This window comes from Homo sapiens, chromosome 18 (genome assembly GCF_000001405.40).
Source record: "Homo sapiens chromosome 18, GRCh38.p14 Primary Assembly".
Classification (NCBI taxonomy): domain Eukaryota; kingdom Metazoa; phylum Chordata; class Mammalia; order Primates; family Hominidae; genus Homo; species Homo sapiens.
In genome coordinates this window covers 58,835,708-58,855,313 of record NC_000018.10, presented here as the reverse complement: position 1 = coordinate 58,855,313, position 19,606 = coordinate 58,835,708, and the positions used below count along the sequence as shown (strand labels likewise).

Genomic DNA, 19,606 nt, shown 5'->3' with positions numbered 1-19,606 from the left:
GTCAGTCAACTTGACTGTAGCCTGTGAAAAAATCAGAGCATAAACTACAACCAATTAAGCTACCTCAGGCCTTAGGCACCCTGCACTGTGCATATAACTAGGTAGTGCCAGGTGCAGTGGCTCATGCCTGTAACCCCAACATTTTCGGAGGCCAAGGTGGGTGGGAGGACCGTTTGCCCAGGAGTTCAAGACCAGCCTGGGCAACACAGGGAGACCCCGTATCTACAGAAAATAAAAATAAATTAGCTGGGCGTGGTGGTGTGCACCTGTGGTCCCAGCTACTCGGAAGGCCGAGGTGGGAAGATCGCTTGAGCCCAGGAGGTCGAGGCTGCAGTGAGCTGTGATCATACCACTGCACACCCACCTGGGCTATGGAATGAGACCCTATCTCAAAACAAAACAAAAAACTTAGTAACTTTGAGCTGGGTGTGGTGGCTCACGTCTGTAACCCCAGCACTTTGGGAGGCCGAGGCGGGTGGATCACGAGGTCAGGAGTTCGAGACCAGCCTGGCCAACATGGTAAAACCCTGTCTCTACTAAAAATACAAAAATTAGCCGGGCATGGTGGCACACACCTGTAATCCCAACTACTTGGGAGGCTGAGGCAGGAGAATCACTTGAACCGGGGAGGCAGAGGTTACAGTGAGCCAAGATCACGCCACTGCACTCCAGCCTGGGCGACAGAGAGAGACTTCATTTCAAAAAATAATAATAGTAATACTAAGTAACTTTGAGAAGGAAGCATTAAATAAGCCCTTGCAGGTGCTGTCCATCTGTCCATTCCTTTTTTTTTTTTTTTTTTTTTTTGAGATGGAGTTTCGCTCTTGCTGCCCAGGCTGGAGTGCAATGGCGTGATCTTGGCTCACCGCAACCTCTGCCTTCCGGGTTAAAGAGATTCTCCCACCTCAGCCTCCCGAGTAGCTGGGATTTTTGGGTTTTTTATTTTTTATTTTTTTGAGATGGAGTCTCACTCTGTCACCCAGGCTGGAGTGCAGTGGCGTGATCTCGGCTCACTGCAACCTCTGCCTCCCGGGTTCAAGCAATTCTCCTGCTTCAGCCTCCCAAGTAGCTGGGATTACAGGTGCATGCCACCACGCCAGGCTAATTTTTGTATTTTTAGTAGAGATGGGGTTTTTCCATGTTGGTCAGGCTGGTCTCAAACTCCCAACCTCAAGTGATCCATCTGCTTCGGCCTCCCAAAGTGCTGGGATTACAAGCGTAAGCCACCACGCCTGGTGTCTGTCCATTCTTTTACCTAGGCCATCCTACACCTATCCTTTAAATACAAATTAAGTTAAAAGGAATAGAGGCCCTTTCTCTTGGGGCATAGGATAACCCCCTGGCCCCTTTTTTGGCTATCTCCCTCAGGGAAACTACATAACTCTATAGACTGAAAGACTCCCCCTACTTAGGAAATTCTGCAGGGAGCACTGCACACCAGCCCATTCTTAAAATTCTCTTCCCTTAGCTTCCAAGACAACTTTCTCTCTTTCCATAAAGCCGTTCCTTCTCAGTCTTCCTCCTTGGCTAATTTTCCTGCATTCCTTTGTGAAATATGGACTGTTCTCCAGGGTCTATCTTTGGCCCTCATCTTTCCGAAAACTGCATTTCTTGGAGAAACACATTTGCTCTCAGGGCCTCAGGTCTATTCTGATGATTCCACATCTATGTTTCCAGATCGGATCTCTCCTCTAATTCCAGATCATAATGAATTGCATTGTGTCCCACAACTCCCAACTCAGGAGGTCCAAAAATGTAGGTCCTCCTCTTCTGTCCTCCACCACCAGCCTGTTACTCAATGGCACCACACTTCTTGGTTTGTCCCTGTCTCTGTTGTAGGAAACCCGTCACAGAAGAAAAAACAAAAAACAAACAAAAAAAACACCTTTTTATTATTGTCCTTTAAATAGCAAATATGCACTTTTTCCCTTCCCTCCCTTTCTTCCTTCCTCCTTCTTTTTTCTTCCTTTTTGCCTGCCTGCCTTCCTTCCTTCCTTCCTTCCGTCTGTCCTTCCTTCCTTCCTCCCTCCCTCCCTCTCTCTCTCTCTTTCTTTCTGAGACGGGGTCTCACTCTGTCACCCAGATAGCAGTGTGGTGGGTGGCGTGATCACAGCTCACTGTAGCCTTGACCTCCCAGATTCAAGCCATCCTTCTGAGTAGCCAGGAGTACAGGCATGTATCACTTCACCTTGCTAATTTAAACCAATTTTTTGGAGAGACAGGGTCTCACTGTGTTGCCCAGGTTTGTCTCAAACTCCTGGGCTCAGGCGATCCTCCTGCCTTGGCCTCCCAAAATGTTGGGATTACAGGTGTGAGCCACCACAGCGAGGCTTCTTTTATTTTTGTAGCCTGGAACTCCTGGGCTCAAGTGATCCTCCCACCTCAGCCTTCTGGGTAACCAGGACTATATGCACACACCACTGTGCCCAGCTGATTTTTACATTTTTTTTGTAGAGATGGGGTCTTGCTATGTTGCCCAGGCTGGTTCTGAATTCCTGGGCTCAAGCAGTTCTCCCGCTTCAGGGGAGCCCAGGAGTTCGAGACCAACCTAGGCAACATGGTAAAACCCCATCTCTACAGAAAAAAAAATACAAAAATTAGCTGGACATGGTGGTGCATGCCTGTAGTCCCAACTACTTGGGAGACTGAGGTGGGAGGATCGCTGGAACTTGGGAGGTGGAGATTGCAGTGAGCTGAGATCGTGCCACTGCACTGCAGCCTGGGCAACAGAGACTATCTCAAAAGAAAAAACAGACCGGGCGCGGTGGCTCATGCCTGTAATCCCAGCACTTTGGGAGGCCGAGGTGGGTGGATCACCTGAGGTAGGGAGTTCAAGACCAGCCTGACCAACATGGAGAAACCCCGTCTCTACTAAAAATACAAAATTAGCCAGGCGTGATGACGCATGCCTGTAATCCCAGCTACTAGGGAGGCTGAGGCAGGAGAATGGCTTGAACCCGGGAGGTGGAGGTTGTAGTGAGCCGAGATCTCAGCACTGCACTCCAGCCTGTGCAACAAGAGTGAAACCCCATCTCCAAAAAAAAAAAGAAAGAAAAACAAACTGAGTTTGGTCCCCTCTTGCACTCTCACAGGCAGTCAGTCTCTTGCTCTGTGATGCCTTCCTACATATTATAATGCAAACAGCCCTCAGCAGATGTGGCAAAGGTGTGGTCTATTGGATTCACTGCTCTAATCCCCAACATCTAGTGTTCTGGGTCCTTATAAGGCTGGGCACTGCTAAGTGTTAAGGAATGAAGAAAGAAAACACAAAGCAAGACTGCACCAACAGAGGATTTAAGTGCTAACGGGGCAATCCATGCCGCATTCCCATCTGGCCTTGGCTGTCTCCTCGGAAATTTTTCAATTGTAACGGGGATTCCAAGGATGCAAACATTTGTTTTCTGGTCCAGATACCAGATTAAGACCACCAGTACATACCAAACTGCCAAACCCCGGGCAAATAACAGCTAACAAATCCTAACACAAATCAAAATTAAGCCATAAATTTGGAAGTAAAAATAATTTTTTAAACATACCCCTATTCATTCCTTGCCTTGCCAAGTATCCCCCACCCATAATCACTGCATTTCCTTCCTCCAACTTCATTCACTGTTACTGTCCATTGAGCTCAGTTCCCATAAGCTAGAAAACCAAATTATATCCATCAGATATTGTCCTCAAAGGCTCGTCTTTAAAATAGTTGGCTGTGTCTGGGGTGATAGTATGGGCAGCTCCATCAGATGTTCTGACAACTGAGTATTGTTAGTTTTGACTCCATTACTTAGAGGAGACTTTGTAATTCTCTCTCAATCACTCATGTATATTTACTCGCTAAGTAACTCTTGTGACCCCCGGCATTCCTCTCATGGGCATTTTACAGAGGCAGGAAGCCAGAAAGGAGGTTAAAGCCCCAAAAGCACCCCTTTTCTATCCAGCAGCAGAAAGTAAATGCTTCTTGCTAAGGTTTGAATTTTAAGAGTTTTCATGCAGAGGGAAGCCAAATTTCCTTTTTCTTTTGCCTGTCCCAAATCTCACCCCCCACTCCCCGGGGGACTAAGGGAGGGAACACACTAGAAAACATCTGCCTTCATACAAATAAATTGTCAGGTATGCCTTTTTTTCTTTTCTTTTTGAGACAGTTTCACTCCGTCGCCCAGGCTGGAGTGCAGTGAGGCGATCTTGGCTCACTGCAACCTCCGCCTCCTGGGTTCAAGCGATTCTTCTGGCTTAGCCTCCCGAGTAGCTGGGACTCTAGGCCCACACCACCAAGGCTGGCTAATTTTTTTTTGTATTATTCATAGAAGCAGAGTTTCGTCATGTTGGCCAGGCTGGTCTCTAACTCCTGGCCTCAAGCGATCCACTCCCCTTGGCCTCCCAAAGTGCTGGGATTACAGACTTGAGCCACCGTGCCTGGTCTGATTCCATTGTCCGACATAATGTTATTTCTCAAGTTCCTGAAACATCCTCCTACTGTAATGGGCAAGCTGGAATCTGAACAGAGCCTTTAAGTGCTCAATAATTGTACTACAATACAGTGAAGTCTTTAGTGTACTTTGGATGCATAAGACCCTTGCCCTCTGTTCTAAATGGCCACCATCTGCTAGTTTGCTATACTTCTGGGGTCTTGCCTCTGTTCCTTATGGTACTTCCACAGTTTTCCTCGAGCTGTACTCCTGGAAGAAGGAATTACTGCTTCTGCCATTCCTAGTGGACCTGCTTGGCAGCTTCTGCTTTCTAATCAGCTACTGAAATCAATCAACCAAATTTGCAAGGACCATGACTAAACTATTATAAAAGGAGGAGTTCGCAGTTCCTGGAGTTTACATCATCCTGCGGTTTGTAAATTTCCCCCTCCCCCTGCATTCCTCCCCGGTGTTTTAAACAGCTAGCTCTGCTGGGTACAGGTATGGTAGCTCATGCCTGTAATCCCAGCACTTTGGGAGGCCGAGGCCAGGCGGATCACCTGAGGTCAGGAGTTTGAAACCAGCCTGGCCAACATGGTGAAACCCCATCTCTCTAAAAATACAAAAATTAGCCAGTTGTGGTGGTGGGCACCTGTAATCTCAGCTGCTTGGGAGGCTGAAGCAGGAGAATTGCTTGAACCTGGGAGGCGGCGGTTGCAGTGAGCCAAGATTGTGCCATTGCACTCCATCTGGGCGACAAAAGCAAGATTCCGTCTCAAAACAAAACAAAACAAAAAACCCCAAAATTAGCCAGGCGTGGTGGCAGGCGCCTGTAGTCCCAGCTACTTGGCAGGCTGAGGCTCGAGAATCACTTGAACCTGGTAGGCAGAGGTTGCAATGTGCTGAGATCATGCCACTGCACTCCAGCTTGCGTGACAGAGCAAGACTCCATTTCAAATAAATAAATAAATAAAAATAGCTGGGTCTGCAGGACCTGTGACTTCTGGGAACTGAGTAGAATGGATAATAGCCAACACTATGGAGCACTTACTCTATGCCAGGTACTGTTGTAAGTAGTTCATTCTGTAATTATTTCACCCACTGTCTCTCACAAACCTACGACTTGGGGCTTGTGATGAGCCAAGTTTGCAAATGAGGTTAGGTCACTTTTTCAAGCAAGGAGTCACTCTCAATCCCAGGCAGTCTGGCGCCCTGATGTGTTGCATACTCCTGGATTTGGAGTTTGAACTTGAAAGCCCTGAGTCATCGCAGTCCTTTACCTCTTCCTCCAGGCGCCAGTTTTATTTTGTTTTTTTAAATATATATTTTTTAGAGTCCCACTATGTTGCCCAGGCCAGACTCAAACTCTCAAACTCCTGGGCTCAAACGATTCTCCCTCTTCAGCTACCTGAATAGCTGGGATTACCATATTCCAATTTTTTTTTTTTTTTTGAAACAGAGTTTTGCTCTTGTTGCCCAGGTTGGAATACAATGGCATGATCTCGGCTCACTGCCACCTCCGCCTCCCAGGTTCAAGTGATTCTCCTGCCTCAGCCTCCTGAATAGCTGGGATTACAGGCGCCCGCCACCACGCCCAGCGAATTTTATGTATTTTTAGTAGAGACGGGATTTCAACATGTTGGCCAGGCTGGTCTTGAACTCTTGACCTCAGGTGATCCGCCCGCCTCAGCCTCCCAAAGTGCTAGGATTACAGGTGTGAGCCACCATGCCTGGCCCCATATTCCAATTTTTATTGAGCCTGTGGACCCCTATCTCCTAAACACTCCATAGCTCTTAGGATAAAATCCTAAGACTTTAGGATTTACTCAGCCCTCCAAAGTCCAGCCCTGGCTTACCTCCCCAGCCTCTTTGGCCCAAATCCCCTGGCAAGCAACATTCCTATAGTTCCTCAGTGTCTCTTTGGTTGGAAGAAAGACTTTCTTGCCTGGAGGCCTTTGCATCAGGGCGGTCCCTTAACTATCACTCAGATCCTCCCCCTCTGCCTGGCTAACTCTTACTCACCATTTGCGTTATAGCTTAGAGCCCACTTCCTCCTGGGAGCTGTGGAGACCTCTACACTGGTTAGGTCCTCCTGATGGGAGCTCCAGTCAGCTCAGAATTTCGCAAGTTGTTGGCATTTATCCCCCAGCCCTGGGATTGCTTTATTTGTCTCTATCCCTCACAGAGTAGATTACAGGCTCCCTGAGGGCAGGACCTCCTGTGTCTGGTTCACCATTACTTCCCCAAAGAGTAGCACAGTGCCGGAGGCACCCTGCAGGAGTGACAGGAATCACAGGTAAAGTTTATTCATTCACCCACTGAACACATTTATCGAGTGCCTGCTAGACACCATACACTATGGTACTCAAGCTTTTCTCATTTAATCCTTCTTCAAGGATTACTTTATTTCATCTTCATAACGAGACACCGAAAAACCCAGTTCATAGATTCGGAAAATTAGATGGAGGTTCTTCTGTGTAAAAAAATTAGCTGGGCCAGGCGCGGTGGCTCACAACTGTAATCCCATCACTTTGGGAGGCCAAGGCGGGTGGATCACCCAGGGTTAGGAGTTTGAGACCAGCCTGGCCATCATGGTGAAACCCTGTCTCTACCAAAAATACAAAATTAGCCAGGCGTGGTGGCGTGTGTCTGAAGTTCCAGCTACTCAGGAGGCTGAGACAGAATTGCTTGAATCCAGGAGGCGGAGGTTGCCCTCCAGCCTGGGTGACAGACTGATACTCCGTCTCAAAAAAAAAAAAAAAAAAAAAAAGCCTAAGGTCACAGTAGGAAGCCTTTGTTGAATGAACACGCGAATGGATGCACCGAGGTCGGGGTTGGGAATATCCGGATTAAGATACCACTGAAGAATTAAGGTTATGTGCCTCCTTAGAGGTGAACTATTAAAAAATCTAATGTAAAAGGCCTGAGATGGGCAAAGTCCCCTTAGGAGACAAAGCCTGCCGGCCAAGGCAAGCCTAGACAGTAATCTAATTGAAGGTATTAGCATATCTAAAGAAAGAATGTGTCAATCACAAGGGGGGGTCGGTGAGTTTAGAACCTGGGAAAATACACTACAGTCGGAATCCTGCTTTGACCGTGAGGAACCCAGAACCTTTCCCCGCGGGAGGTGCCAGCTGATGTGGCAGGTGTATCCCCGCGTGGGGAAGGACGCAGCCGCCAGCTGAACCGCCGCCTACCGCCCCCGCTCCCTCTCCCGCGGAGCTGGCGACCCGATTGCAATTCCGCTTCCGCCGACAGAAACTGCCTAATAATAGCTCCCTTGTGTTTGTCTGCACCCCGGCTAGGCACTTGCCTACAGCCTAAGTTGCATTTCGGCCTCACACAGCCCAGTCTCCAACTGGGGAAGCTTGCAGAGCTAGAAGGCACGTCCAAGGTCAAATTGCAGACCGGAAAGGGAAGAGCTGGAATGGCCCAGCTCCAGGTGCGGGATCAGCTGGCCACCCCTTGCCTGTCCCGCCCATACGAGCATGCTTGGGACTCTTGGTAGAAATTAACTAAATGGGCCTTGCGGTGTAGGCCCCTGCCTTTTGCGGGCTGATTTCAGGTCCGCCTTCCTTGCGATGCAAGTCATCTCAGTATGTGAAGGTTGAAACTAATCCACTTCGGGAGTCCTCCTGCGGCCCCAGCTCCTCCCGCCCGCTGAGCTACTCCGCAAGTCACAGAGATGCTCCTGTCCCTCCAGGCCTTTCCTGCTCCCCCAACCCTGCCGTCCTGCCAGTTCTCCCTTAAAAACTAACATCTTGCAAGGGACTGAAGGGAAAAGAAACAAACGGTTGCTCTCCTCAAACCATTGAACAAAACAGATTACTTAAAACCCTGTTACAATTTTGCCAGTGAAAGGAGCAGCCCATTAGTAATTAGGGTAGGACAATCCCGCAACCCAGCACTGACCCTGGCAAAGGTGGCACTTCACCCCAGGTGCTTGGAAGAGACAGGGATCTGAAGGCATGGATCTGCCAATGTATAGCCATGTGACCTTGGAAAAAGTTTTGTTTGTTTGTTTGTTTTTTGAGACGGAATCTTGCTCTGTCGCCCAGGCTGGAGTGCAGTGGTGCGATCTCGGCTCACTGAAAGCTCCGCCTCCCGGGTTCACGCCATTCTCCTGCCTCAGCCTCCCGAGTAGCTGGGACTACAGGCGCCTGCCACCACGCCCAGCTAATTTTTTTTTGTATTTTTAGTAGAGACGGAGTTTCACTGTTAGCCAGGATGGTCTCGATCTCCTCACCTCGTGATCCGCCTGCTTCGGCCTCCCAAAGTGCTGGGATTACAGGCCTGAGCCACCGCGCCCAGCGGAAAAGGTTTTGCCATTGTATAGCCATGTGACCTTGCAAAATTCCTGAAACTGGAGGGCCTGAGAGGTCAAAGAAAGCGTCAAGGTTTTCCCTCTCTTCAAGAGCAGAGTAGGCTTAGAAGAAACAGCAAAGCATTTTAGCCTATGCACGGATAGGCACCCCGAGGCATGCTTTAGACATTTCCCACCTCGTTCTTTACAGACAGGACTTCAGGGACAAGAGGTCAGTACAGTAAGAAAATGCTGCATGAACGTTGTGACCTGCATTGTTCTTTCCCATCTCTCTGCCCTCCCTTGCTCTTCAAACACGCGCCAATGCCTCATTAAAGACTGCAAACCATCCCATTAGGTGCAAATGCATGGAAACATATTCATGATTATTCAAATGAATCCTTGTAAAATAATCAGTATTGTCTGCATAAATATTCATCATCACTGGGCTAATCACTACGCAATCTCACGAGGGTGTGGCCCTGTAATCCTGCACCCTTTTGCCCTCTCCTTCCTCCTCCCTTTGTCTGAGACTCTTTTTTTCTCCACTCCTAAGCCTCCTAAGGTTTTCCTAGGTCTTCAAGATCTCATTCAGGGTAAAGATATTTCTGGTTCTGATCTAATGCTTGATGTATTTATCTCTCTTGGAAGATTATTCTACCAGAAGGTGATTTTTTTTTTTCTGCAAAGTGTATCTGACCATGGCTCAACAGCTGCAGATTCTCCGGCATCAATACTTCCTTGATACTAAAAGATTCTCTTCATCGCATGGGCATTGTGGCCAGAGCAGTGTGCTGGGGCCGGGGGAGCACCCAGAAGGATGACACCTTATAGTCTGGTGCAGGATAAAGACAAGGGAGATACGCTCTGCAACAATATGTGGAATAAGGCCAGGCGCGGTGGCTCACGCCTGTAATCCCAACACTTTGCGAGGCTGAGATGAGCAGATCACTTGAGGTCAGCAGTTCAAGACCAGCCTGGCCAACATGGTGAAACCCCTGTCTCTACTGAAAATACAAAAATTAGCTGGGCATGGTGGCACATGCCTGTAGTCCCAGCTACTTGGGAGGCTGAAGCAGGAGAATCGCTTGAACCCCAGAGGCAGTGGTTGCAGAGAGCAGCGATCACACCATTGTAGTCCAGTCTGGGCGACAGAGCGAGACTCTGCCTCAAAAAAAAAAAAAAAAATCAATAGCGGAATGAAATCCACGCAAATAGAAGTACAAGGCAGAAGCCCTGGGAGAACATGGGGGGTTGGAGAGCAGGCACCAGGAGAAGCCTGGAGATGTGGAGAGGGGAGCACCTCTGGGCTGTGTGGCATTCAGATGCTCCATTCTAGCTATGCACCTCTTCTCATCCTGGTTGTACCCCTCTTTTTTAACTTGAAGATTTGTTATTGACGGCAGAACCATGTGGAAAGTTAGAAAATCAGCATGCATTTGGGTGAGGCAAGGTATGAGGAAGATCCCCATAAGACGTGTGAGTAAGCAGACATTAATCCTTTAAATGAACCCCTCTAGGAGCTTGTTCCAGTCACTAGGACTTAGCACAGTGGCAAGAAAAAGCCAAAGAAAACAAAGAAAGGCACATGCATTTATAAGCTCAAGAAACCAGAACACGGGGTCATACAAGTGCCCTTTTTTGGTAGTACCCAGTTACGCCCAGTGGAGTCTATTTAGACATTTGATGGTAAGGAAGTGTCAAAGCCATTTATATCCACTGATGGAAAAAGATACAAAAGAAGAGGAACCTTTTTACAGTTAAGAACTTTGCAAATTCTGGAATGGGAATAGAAATAACAAAATTTGCCCAGGCACAGTAGCTCACTCCTGTAATCCCAGCACTTTGAGAGGCTGAGGTGGGCAGATCATTTGAGGTCAGGAGTTCGAGACCAGCCTGGCCAACATGGCGAAACCCTGTCTTTACTAAAAATACAAAAATTATCCGGGTGTGTTGGCACACACCTGTAATCCCAGCTACTCGAGAGGCTGAGGCAGGAGAATCGCTTGAACCTGGGATGCAGAGGTTGCAGAGCAAGACTCTGTCTCAAAAAAAAAGAAAAGAGAAAAAAGAAAAAAGAAATAACAATATTAAAAGGAAAAGAAAAGATAATTAACAGCTACCACAACTTCAATGCCCAGAAAAAATGTGTAAGTAGTCTATGTTGTAGGCTATTCTGTAAGGTTCAGGGGAATCTCACTGTTGTCTTTAATTTGATATAAGAATCATTTTACTTTTCAAGCTTTTCAGGGTGTAAAGAAAACCCATTGTTGTGTATGTTTTGAAGAAGAATCATTTTTCTTATCAAATAGAAGCAAATAGCTCGTAAGTACCAAACATGTATAGCATGAAAATGAATTGAAAATACTTTCTAAGGCAATATTTTTAGTACATTCATTTGTCTTCTTAAAGGCCTGAAAATAAAATAGCCCATCAAGGAAAGCACTCTGTTTCCCCTTCCTATTAAACATAGAGAACACGACCAGGGTAGAGAAAGGATGCTGGGTGACAATAACCCATTTTTAATGGTTGATTTGTTAGTGGCTTCAGAGAGATAAATAATATTACTTTCTAATCCAAAGAAGTCTCATACCTAAGATTTGCAACATTATTTCTTAAATCCACATAGCTTTCTCTTCCTAGAAATTGTCACACACAAAAACATAAGAGTCCCTGGTTTGATTTAATGAGATTTACACAAAGGGAGTTGTCAGTAACCACTGAAACAGGGCAGGGTTTTCATAATGATTGTGCTTGAATTGTGTTCCAGTCTGAAAAGAGCCTTTTTAATTATAGGGTTTTGGGGGTGGGGGAAGCAGGGTGTGGGAGAGTGGCAGGGGCGGGGGAGTGGATGTAGTTTTTCACGGTAAGAGACTGAAAAGTCTTTTATCTATTTAAAAGGATAGCAGGTGGGCTCCACTAACAAGTCTTAACCCCAGGACTTAGCTTAACCCTGGAGAAAATGTTTTTCATTTTCACCCCTATGTATTTGCTGGTTCTTCACTTCTTTAAATTGCAAGCTCTTCAAATAGAGCTCAGAAGGCCTGGGGGAGTAGGCAGTTCAGCCAAGGACAGTTCCGAGGGTTTGGAATACCTCTGCACAACAGAGCTCCTGGAGACCTCGACAGTTGCGCAGGCAGCCCTGAATCAGCAGCTCCCAGGCAACGCTGACCCGAGCTATTTTGAAGCTGGTGACACTAAAGCCTATGACTGTCACCCGGATTAACAGCGTGGGAGCTAGGATTTTTGATAGTGTTAGGTAATTCCACCCATCTGAATTTCTCTATTTCGATTTCTCACCTCAAGCCTAAAAACATCCATGCAACTCATTCTAGAAAGAAGCCCAATCTAGTTAATTTTACCAGTGAACTGTATAGGATGAAATCCCTACACAAAAGGGCAGGGCCAGAGCCCGCTCCATGTGGAAGGCATGCTTGGAAGTCCAGGGTCAGCTCAGCACTGTCTGGCTTCTTGTCTTCTCAGGATTTACTCCCCCTTCACCATTTTTGTCACTTTCCATTTTTTTTCTGATTATTTTTATTGCAATACAGATGAGGTCTCCTTAGGTTGCCCAGGCTGGTCTTGAACTCCTGGGCTCAAGTGATCCTTCCGCCTCGGCCTCCCAAAATGCTGGGATCATAGGCATGAACCACTGCACCAGGCCTCTTTTTACTTTTCAAATTATGTTTATTGAGGTATAATTTATATACAGCTTAAAAATTCACCCTTTTTTGGTGTATAGTTCTATGAGTTTTGACAAACAAATGTTATGCTGTGAGATGAACTGTATCTGCCTCCCAAATTCATATCTTCTTGAAGACCTAGCCCTCAATGTGATTATATTTGGACATAGAGCTTTTTTTATTTTTTAGATAGAGTCTCACTCTGTCGCCCAGGCTGGAGTGCAGTGGCGTGACCCCAGCTCACTGCGACCTCCGCCTCCCTGGTTCAAGCAATTCTCCTGCCTCAGCTTCCCAAGTAGCTGGGATTACAGGTGCCCACCACCATGCCCGGCTAATTTTTGTATGTTTAGTAGAGACAGGGTTTCACTATTTTGGCCAGCTGGTCTCAAACTCCTGACCTCAGGTGATCCACCCGCCTCGGCCTCCCAAAGTGCTGAGATCACAGGTGTGAGCTGCCACCGCGCCGGGCTTATCATTTCTTAATATACTTAGTTCAAACTGATTAGTCAGATTAGTTTTATTCAAAAGCAGGAATGAAGAAATGGAAGATGAGACACAGCACACGTCAGTCCCACATTTCTAGTTGTCTGCTGGCAATTTTCATTTGGATATCCCACCAGCATGTCCAACCCATAAATTACCTTCCCTCAAATCAGATCTTCCTTTGGAAGGAAGGGCTGTTAACTTCACCTAATCATTGAGTTCAAAACCTCGGTGTCATTTTTGTCTTTATTTTTCCTCATTCTCTACATTAGCTTAATCTCTAAGTCCTGTTGACTTTGCCTTCATGAAGTCTTAGTTGTTCACGATTATCATCTTGATGAGGCTCAGAAACCAAGACCCGGCTGGGCACAGTGGCTCATGCCTGCAATTCCAGTACTTTAGGAAGCCAAGGAGGGAGGATTGCTTGAAGCCAGGAGTTTGAGACCAGCCTGAGCAAGATAGTGAGACCCCATCTCTACAAAAATAAAAACTTAGCCAGGCGTGGTGGTGCGCACCTGTAGTCTTAACTAACTGGGAAGCTGAGGTGGGAGGATCTCTTGAACCTAAAGCCTGGGAAACATAATGAGGCCTCGTCTCTACAAATTTTTTTTTTAATTAGCTGGGTGTGGCGCCGCATGCCTGTAGTCCCAGCACTTTGGGAGGCTGAGGTGGGCAGATCACTTGAGGCCAGGAGTTCTAGACCAGCCTTGCCAACATGGAGAAACCCTATCTCTATTAAAAATACAAAAATGTAGCCAGGTGCAGTGGCGCAAGCCCATAGACCCAGCTACTCTGGAGGCTGAGGATCACTTGAGCCCAGGAGTTCCAACCTACAGTGAGCTGTGATCATGCCACTGCACTCCAGCAAAACATCTCACCCCACCAAAAAATTCCTTTTTTAAAAGTACTTTAAAAATACGAGACAGCCAGGCTGTCTAAAAAAAAAAAATAAGAAAGAAAAGAAAGAGACCAATACACCCAAATGTGGTGCTTTGACATGCTGAACTGAAGAAGCCTCAAGGTCTTTCTGATATCCCCCCTCAACATCTCTCCCAAAACCTTTATCTGCCTAAGAACCAGACCCATCAAAATAAACAATTGCTTTTTCTTCCCCTTCTTGTAAGACCAAGAATCCAGCCACACCAACAGAAACTTTCACAAAATACTGTACAAATTAATCTCTGTTCCCTGATCCATTCATCCTTCCTAGTAACCCCTCAACAGAATTCGTCTTCCTCCCCCTTCCCATAAACTGTTTTGCCAGGATAGAGTATAAGCTTCCGAACCACTCTGGGGCCTGGGCAGTCACTCTGTGCTTCTCCTCGTGTATAGTTCATAAAATGTGTATGCCTTTTCTCCAATTAATCTGCCTCTTGGGAGCTGATTTTTCAGCGAGCCTTCAGAGGGTGAAAGGGAAGTTTCCCTTGGTCCCTATAATCTGAATCCAGGCTTAAACTTTTAGTTTCCTGGCCAGTCCCTGACTCCTGTCTGTCTTTTGAGGATATAACCATTACATTTGTCAAATGACAAAATTACAACAAACTTAGTTTGAAAGATCTTAATTGGCTTTATTTACAATTCTAGAATCGGGTAACACTTCATTCCATAAAACAGAATAAATGTTCCAATGACCTGAGCAGTAGAGGATTTTTTTGTTTGGTTGGTTGTTTTTGTTTTTTGTTTTCTTATAGGGTCTCACTCTGTCACCACACCCAGCTAATTTTTTTTGTATTTTTAGCAGAGACGGGGTTTTGCCATGTTGTCCAGGCTGGTCTCAAAATCCTGACCACAGGTGATCCGTCTGCCTTGGCCTCCCAAAGTGCTAGGATAACAGGTGTGGGCCACTGCGCCTGGCCTCTTATGAGTTTTTTTAAAACACATTTTCTCCCCAGATTTGGGAGAAAGAAAGTGCATTGGATCTAAGAGGTGAAAACAAAAGGCCTACTAGTGATGTGCAAAGGCAAACTAAATGCTGAGAAAAGAAAGAGTTGAGGGGATTATATTTAATCAGGGTACTTAATGCTCTAACTCTTGAAACAGGACCACATTTCAGTGGATTAACAAAGTAGTTTGGCCGGGTGCGGTGGCTCACGCCTGTAATCCCGGCACTTTGGGAGGCCGAGGCGGGTGGATCACTTGAGGTCAAGAGTTAGAGACCAGCCTGGCCAACCTTGTGAAACCCTGTCTCTACTAAAAATGCAAAACTTAGCCAGCATCATGGTGCACACCTGTAGTCCCAGCTACTCGGGAGGCTGAGGCAGGAGAATCGCTTGAACCCAGGAGGCAGAGGTTACAGTGAGCTGAGAGCATGCCATTGCACGCCAGCCTGGGCGACAGAGCAAGACTCTGTCTCAAAGAAAAAAAAAGTTTTTTTCTTCTTCACATCACAGGCTTTGCTGATGAGATGGTTCTCCAAACACTGACTGCATATACTGGCTGTTCCCACACAGACAGTAAACGAAACCCAAATGGCTGATAAGCGCATGAAAAAGTGTCCATCATGATACGTCATCAGGGAGATGCGAATTAAAATCATAGAAGATACCATTTTACATCCACCAGATGGCTAACACTTTTTTTTTTTTGTATTTTTAGTAGAGACAGGGTGTCACTGTGTTAGCTAGGATGGTCTCAATCTCCTGACCTCGTGATCCACCCGCCTCAGCCTCCCAAAGTGCTGGGATTACAGGCGTGAGCCACTGCGCCCGGCCAGAGATGGCTAACATTTAAAAGGCTGACAACACCAAATATTGGAGAGGATGTGGAGCAACTGGAATGCTCATGTATTATTTAGAAAATGAATCATGGCTGGGCACAGTGACTCACGCCCACAGTCCCAGCACTTTGGGAGGCTAAGGCTAGAGGATCTCTTGAGCCCAGGAGTTAAAGACCAGTTTGAGCAACATAGTGGGACCCTGTCTCTACAAAAAAGAAAACATCAGCAGGGGATGGCAGTGCACTCCTACAGTCCTAGCTAATCATGAGACTGAAGTGGAAGGATCCCCTGAGCCCAGGAGGTCAAGGCTACAGTGAGCTCGATACAAAATTAGCAGGGCATGGTGGTGCACGCCTGTAGTACCAGCTACTCAGCTACTCAGGAGGCTGAGGCAGAAGAATCCAATGAACCCGGGAGGCGGAGGTTGCAGTGAGCCGAGATCATGCCACTGCACTCCAGCCTGGGTGACAGACTGAGACTCAGTCTCAAAAAAAAAAAAAAAAAAAAGAATAGATCCATTGTTTGGATGCTTCTGAGTTCAGACTCTTGAATAAAAGGTTTACTGTAGGTATCGTGGCTGGAGCGTAGTCTCCATGAGGACTCAGGTGGAGGGGGGATGGTCTGGAAGAAGACGGTGCTATTGTCTCAACAGCCCCTCCTTTTGTTGGGAAACACTCTCCCCTGGCCCTGTGTGGTTCTGATGGGACTGCTGATCTAAGTACTCTGAATGGTTGGCCCACCTGCATTTCTCCAATATAAGCTAAAGGGAAAGGACCCTTTTCAGCTTGGGGGCAGCAGCAGTGAGGAAGAGGCAGTGGTTAGTTGAGAAATGGGGGTCTTGGAGCTCTGGTGCCCAAGCTGAGGCCTCTCTCTCAAAACATGTAGACATTCAACTCTGAACCAGTTTACATTAATAGCCCACAAACACCACCATTTAAGCACTCAGAACAAAGATCCTCCAAACTGCAGAAATTGGAGTCTGGCCCATGGGCTTCATTAGCATCCTATTTAAATGCAGAAGTGATATCTTTATTTAACGTATTGTCCCTGGACTCCTTTCTTTCCCCATCTCTTGCTGCCAAGAATTGCTACTGGGACAACTGCTACTGGGCCATCCAATGGTGTTGGCTGATTCTTGCCTGGAAGAGCTCTTTTTGCTAGGTCCTTGCCTACACCGGGCAGGAGAGAGGGGTGCCACAAAGACAGCGCAGTTAGCCCCTGGGCACAGTGCTAGCCCAAAGGCTGTCTGGGAAAGGGGAAGCTTTCAGAAGCTGTGGACTCCCTCAGGGCCGCCCCAGTCTCAGGAGAGGTATGTCCCAGGGCAGCAGCTTGTGGCCAATTCTGGGAGTCCTCCTGAGACTGTCAGTCATATGGAAATAAAGTCACCCCTCTGGGACCAAAGCCCATCAGAACACATGGAATGTACACAGCCCTGTCCAGGAGGGCAAGGTCACATTCTGGATTGTACAGAGCACCAGGAAGATCCAGCTTTGAATCCCAGCCTCAGTTCATGCAAATGTGTGTGATGAGGCCAGGCACGGTGGCTCCATCTGTAATCCCAGCACTTTGGGAGGCCAAGGCAGGCAGATCACCTGAGGTCAGGATTTTGAGACCAGCCTGACCAACATGGTGAAACTGTATCTCTACTAAAAATACAAAAATTAGCTGGGTGTGGCGGTGCTCGCCTGTAGTCCCAGCTACTCAGGAGGCTGAGGCAGGAGAATGGCTTGAACCTGGGAGGCGAAGCTTGCAGTGAACCAAGATCATGCCACTGCACTTTAGCCTGGGCGACAGAGGGAGACTCAGTCTCAAAAAAAAAAAAAAAAAAAACAAGTGTTTGATGATATTAACCCTCTGTAACTATGGGTTCCTTATCTGCGAATTTAACCAACTGTGGATTAAAAATATTCAGAAGGCCGGGCACAGAGGCTCACGCCTGTAATCCTAGCACTTTGGGAGGCCGAGGTGGGTGGATCACCTGAGGTCAGGAGTTTGAAACCAGCCTGGCCAACATGGTGAAACCCCATCTCTATTAAAAATACAAAAACTAGCCAGGCGTGGTGGCAGGTGCCTGTAATCCCAGCTAGTCAGGAGGCTGAGGTGGAAGAATCCCTTGAACCTGGGAGGCAGAGGTTACAGTAAGCTAAGATCACGCCACTGCACTCCAGCCTGGGCAACAAGAGTGAAACTCTGTCTCAAAAAAAAAAAATTTTTTTTTCAGAAAAAAAGAAAAGGATGGTTGTGTCTGTACTGAACAGAGACTTTTTTTCCTTGTCCTCATTCTCTAAACAATGCAATATAATGACTATTTATATAGCATTTACATTGTATTAAATATTATAAGTAATCTAGAGATGATTTAAAGTATAGGGGAGGATATGCATATGTTATATACAAAGTACTATGCTTTTTTTTTTTTTTTTTGAGATGGAGTCTCATTCTGTCACTCAGGCTGGAGTGCAGTGACACGATCTCGGCTCACTGCAATCTCTGCCTCCCAGTTTCAAGCAATTCTCCTGCCTCAGCCTCCCGAATAGCTGGGACTACAGGCACGTGCCACCAGGCCCAGCTAATTTTTTTGTATTTTTTGTAGAGACAGGGTTTCACTATGTTGGCCATGCTGGTCTCAAACTCCTGACCTCAGGTGATTTGCCCGCCTCGGCCTCCCAAAATGCTGGGATTACAGGCATGAGCTACCACACCCGTCCTATGCCATTTTATTTAAAGGACTTGAGCCTCTGTGAATTTTGGTATCCTCAGGGGGTCCTGGAACCAACCCCCATGGATATAGAGGGATTATTCTATCTATCTCATGGACTGCCTGGAGCACCTGATATATCATGTATATGAAAATAGTTTGTAAATAGTACTAAATTACTTGCCATTTACCCCCAAGAAATTAGGGCCACACAGAGGGCAAAGTCTAGGTCTCATACCTTTTAAAAACATTGTGATGAAAAAACACAACAAAATTTACCATCTTAACCAAGTGTTAAATATATTAAGTATGTTCATATTGTTGTCAAACAGATCTCCAGGACTTGTTTAAAATTATTATTTTTAATAGAAATGGGGTCTTGCTATGATGCCCAGGCTGGTCTTGAATGCCTGAGCTCAAGCAATCTGCTCTCCTTGGCCTCCCAAAGTGCTGGAATTACAGGCAGGAGCCACCTCACTTGGCCCAAAATCTCCAGAACTTTTTCATCTTGCAAAACTGAAACTCTGTATCATCAATCTTCTTTTTATCTCTAGGGATTTGCCTATTCTAGACATTTCATATAAATGGAATCATATGACATGTGACCTTTGTACCTGTATTCTTTCATTTAGTATATTTTCAAGGTTGATCCACATTGTAACATGAATCAGTTTGTAGGTTTTTTTTTTACTTGTTTTTTTTTTTTTGTTTGTTTGTTTGTTTTTAGATGAAGTCTCACTCTGTCGCCCAGACTGGAGTGCAGTGGCACGCTCTTGGCTCACTGCAACCACCACCTCCCTGGCTCAAGCAATTCTCCTGCCTCAGCCACCGGAGTAGCTGGGATTACAGGCATGTGCCACCACGCCCGGCTAATTTTTATATTTTTAGTGGAGACGGGGTTTTACCACATTGGCCAGGCTGGTCTCGAACTCCTGACCTCAAGTTATCCACCCACCTTGGCCTACCAAAGTGCTGGGATTACAGGCGTAAGCCAACATGCTGGCCTCTTTGTATCTTTTTTTTTTTTTTTTTTGAGATGGAGTCTCACTCTTTTGCCCAGGCTGGAGTGCAGTGGTACGATCTTGGCTTACCACAACCTCCACCTCCCGGGTTCAAGCAAATCTCCTGCCTCAGCCTCCCGAGTAGCTGGGACTACAGGCGCGCTACCATGCCCAACTAATTTTTTTATTTTTAGTAGAGACAGGGTTTCACTATGTTGGTCAGGCTGGTCTCGAACTCCTGACCTTGTGATCTGCTCGCTTCAGCCTCCCAAAATGCTAGGATTACAGGTGTGAGCCACTGCGCCCGGCGCTTTGTAGC

At 46.6% G+C, this 19,606-nt stretch overlaps 3 annotated features.

The window, feature by feature from the left end:
- Window positions 7,069-7,881: an enhancer, noted in NCBI's record as "OCT4-NANOG-H3K27ac-H3K4me1 hESC enhancer chr18:56514665-56515477 (GRCh37/hg19 assembly coordinates)". NCBI's record gives its function as "activates a minimal SCP1, AML or CMV promoter by ChIP-STARR-seq in naive and primed H9 embryonic stem cells {active_cell/tissue: H9 hESC(naive and primed)}" and the evidence as "EXISTENCE:reporter gene assay evidence [ECO:0000049][PMID:30033119]".
- Window positions 7,882-8,694: an enhancer, noted in NCBI's record as "NANOG-H3K27ac-H3K4me1 hESC enhancer chr18:56513852-56514664 (GRCh37/hg19 assembly coordinates)". NCBI's record gives its function as "activates a minimal SCP1, AML or CMV promoter by ChIP-STARR-seq in naive and primed H9 embryonic stem cells {active_cell/tissue: H9 hESC(naive and primed)}" and the evidence as "EXISTENCE:reporter gene assay evidence [ECO:0000049][PMID:30033119]".
- Window positions 8,695-9,507: an enhancer, noted in NCBI's record as "NANOG-H3K27ac-H3K4me1 hESC enhancer chr18:56513039-56513851 (GRCh37/hg19 assembly coordinates)". NCBI's record gives its function as "activates a minimal SCP1, AML or CMV promoter by ChIP-STARR-seq in naive H9 embryonic stem cells {active_cell/tissue: H9 hESC(naive)}" and the evidence as "EXISTENCE:reporter gene assay evidence [ECO:0000049][PMID:30033119]".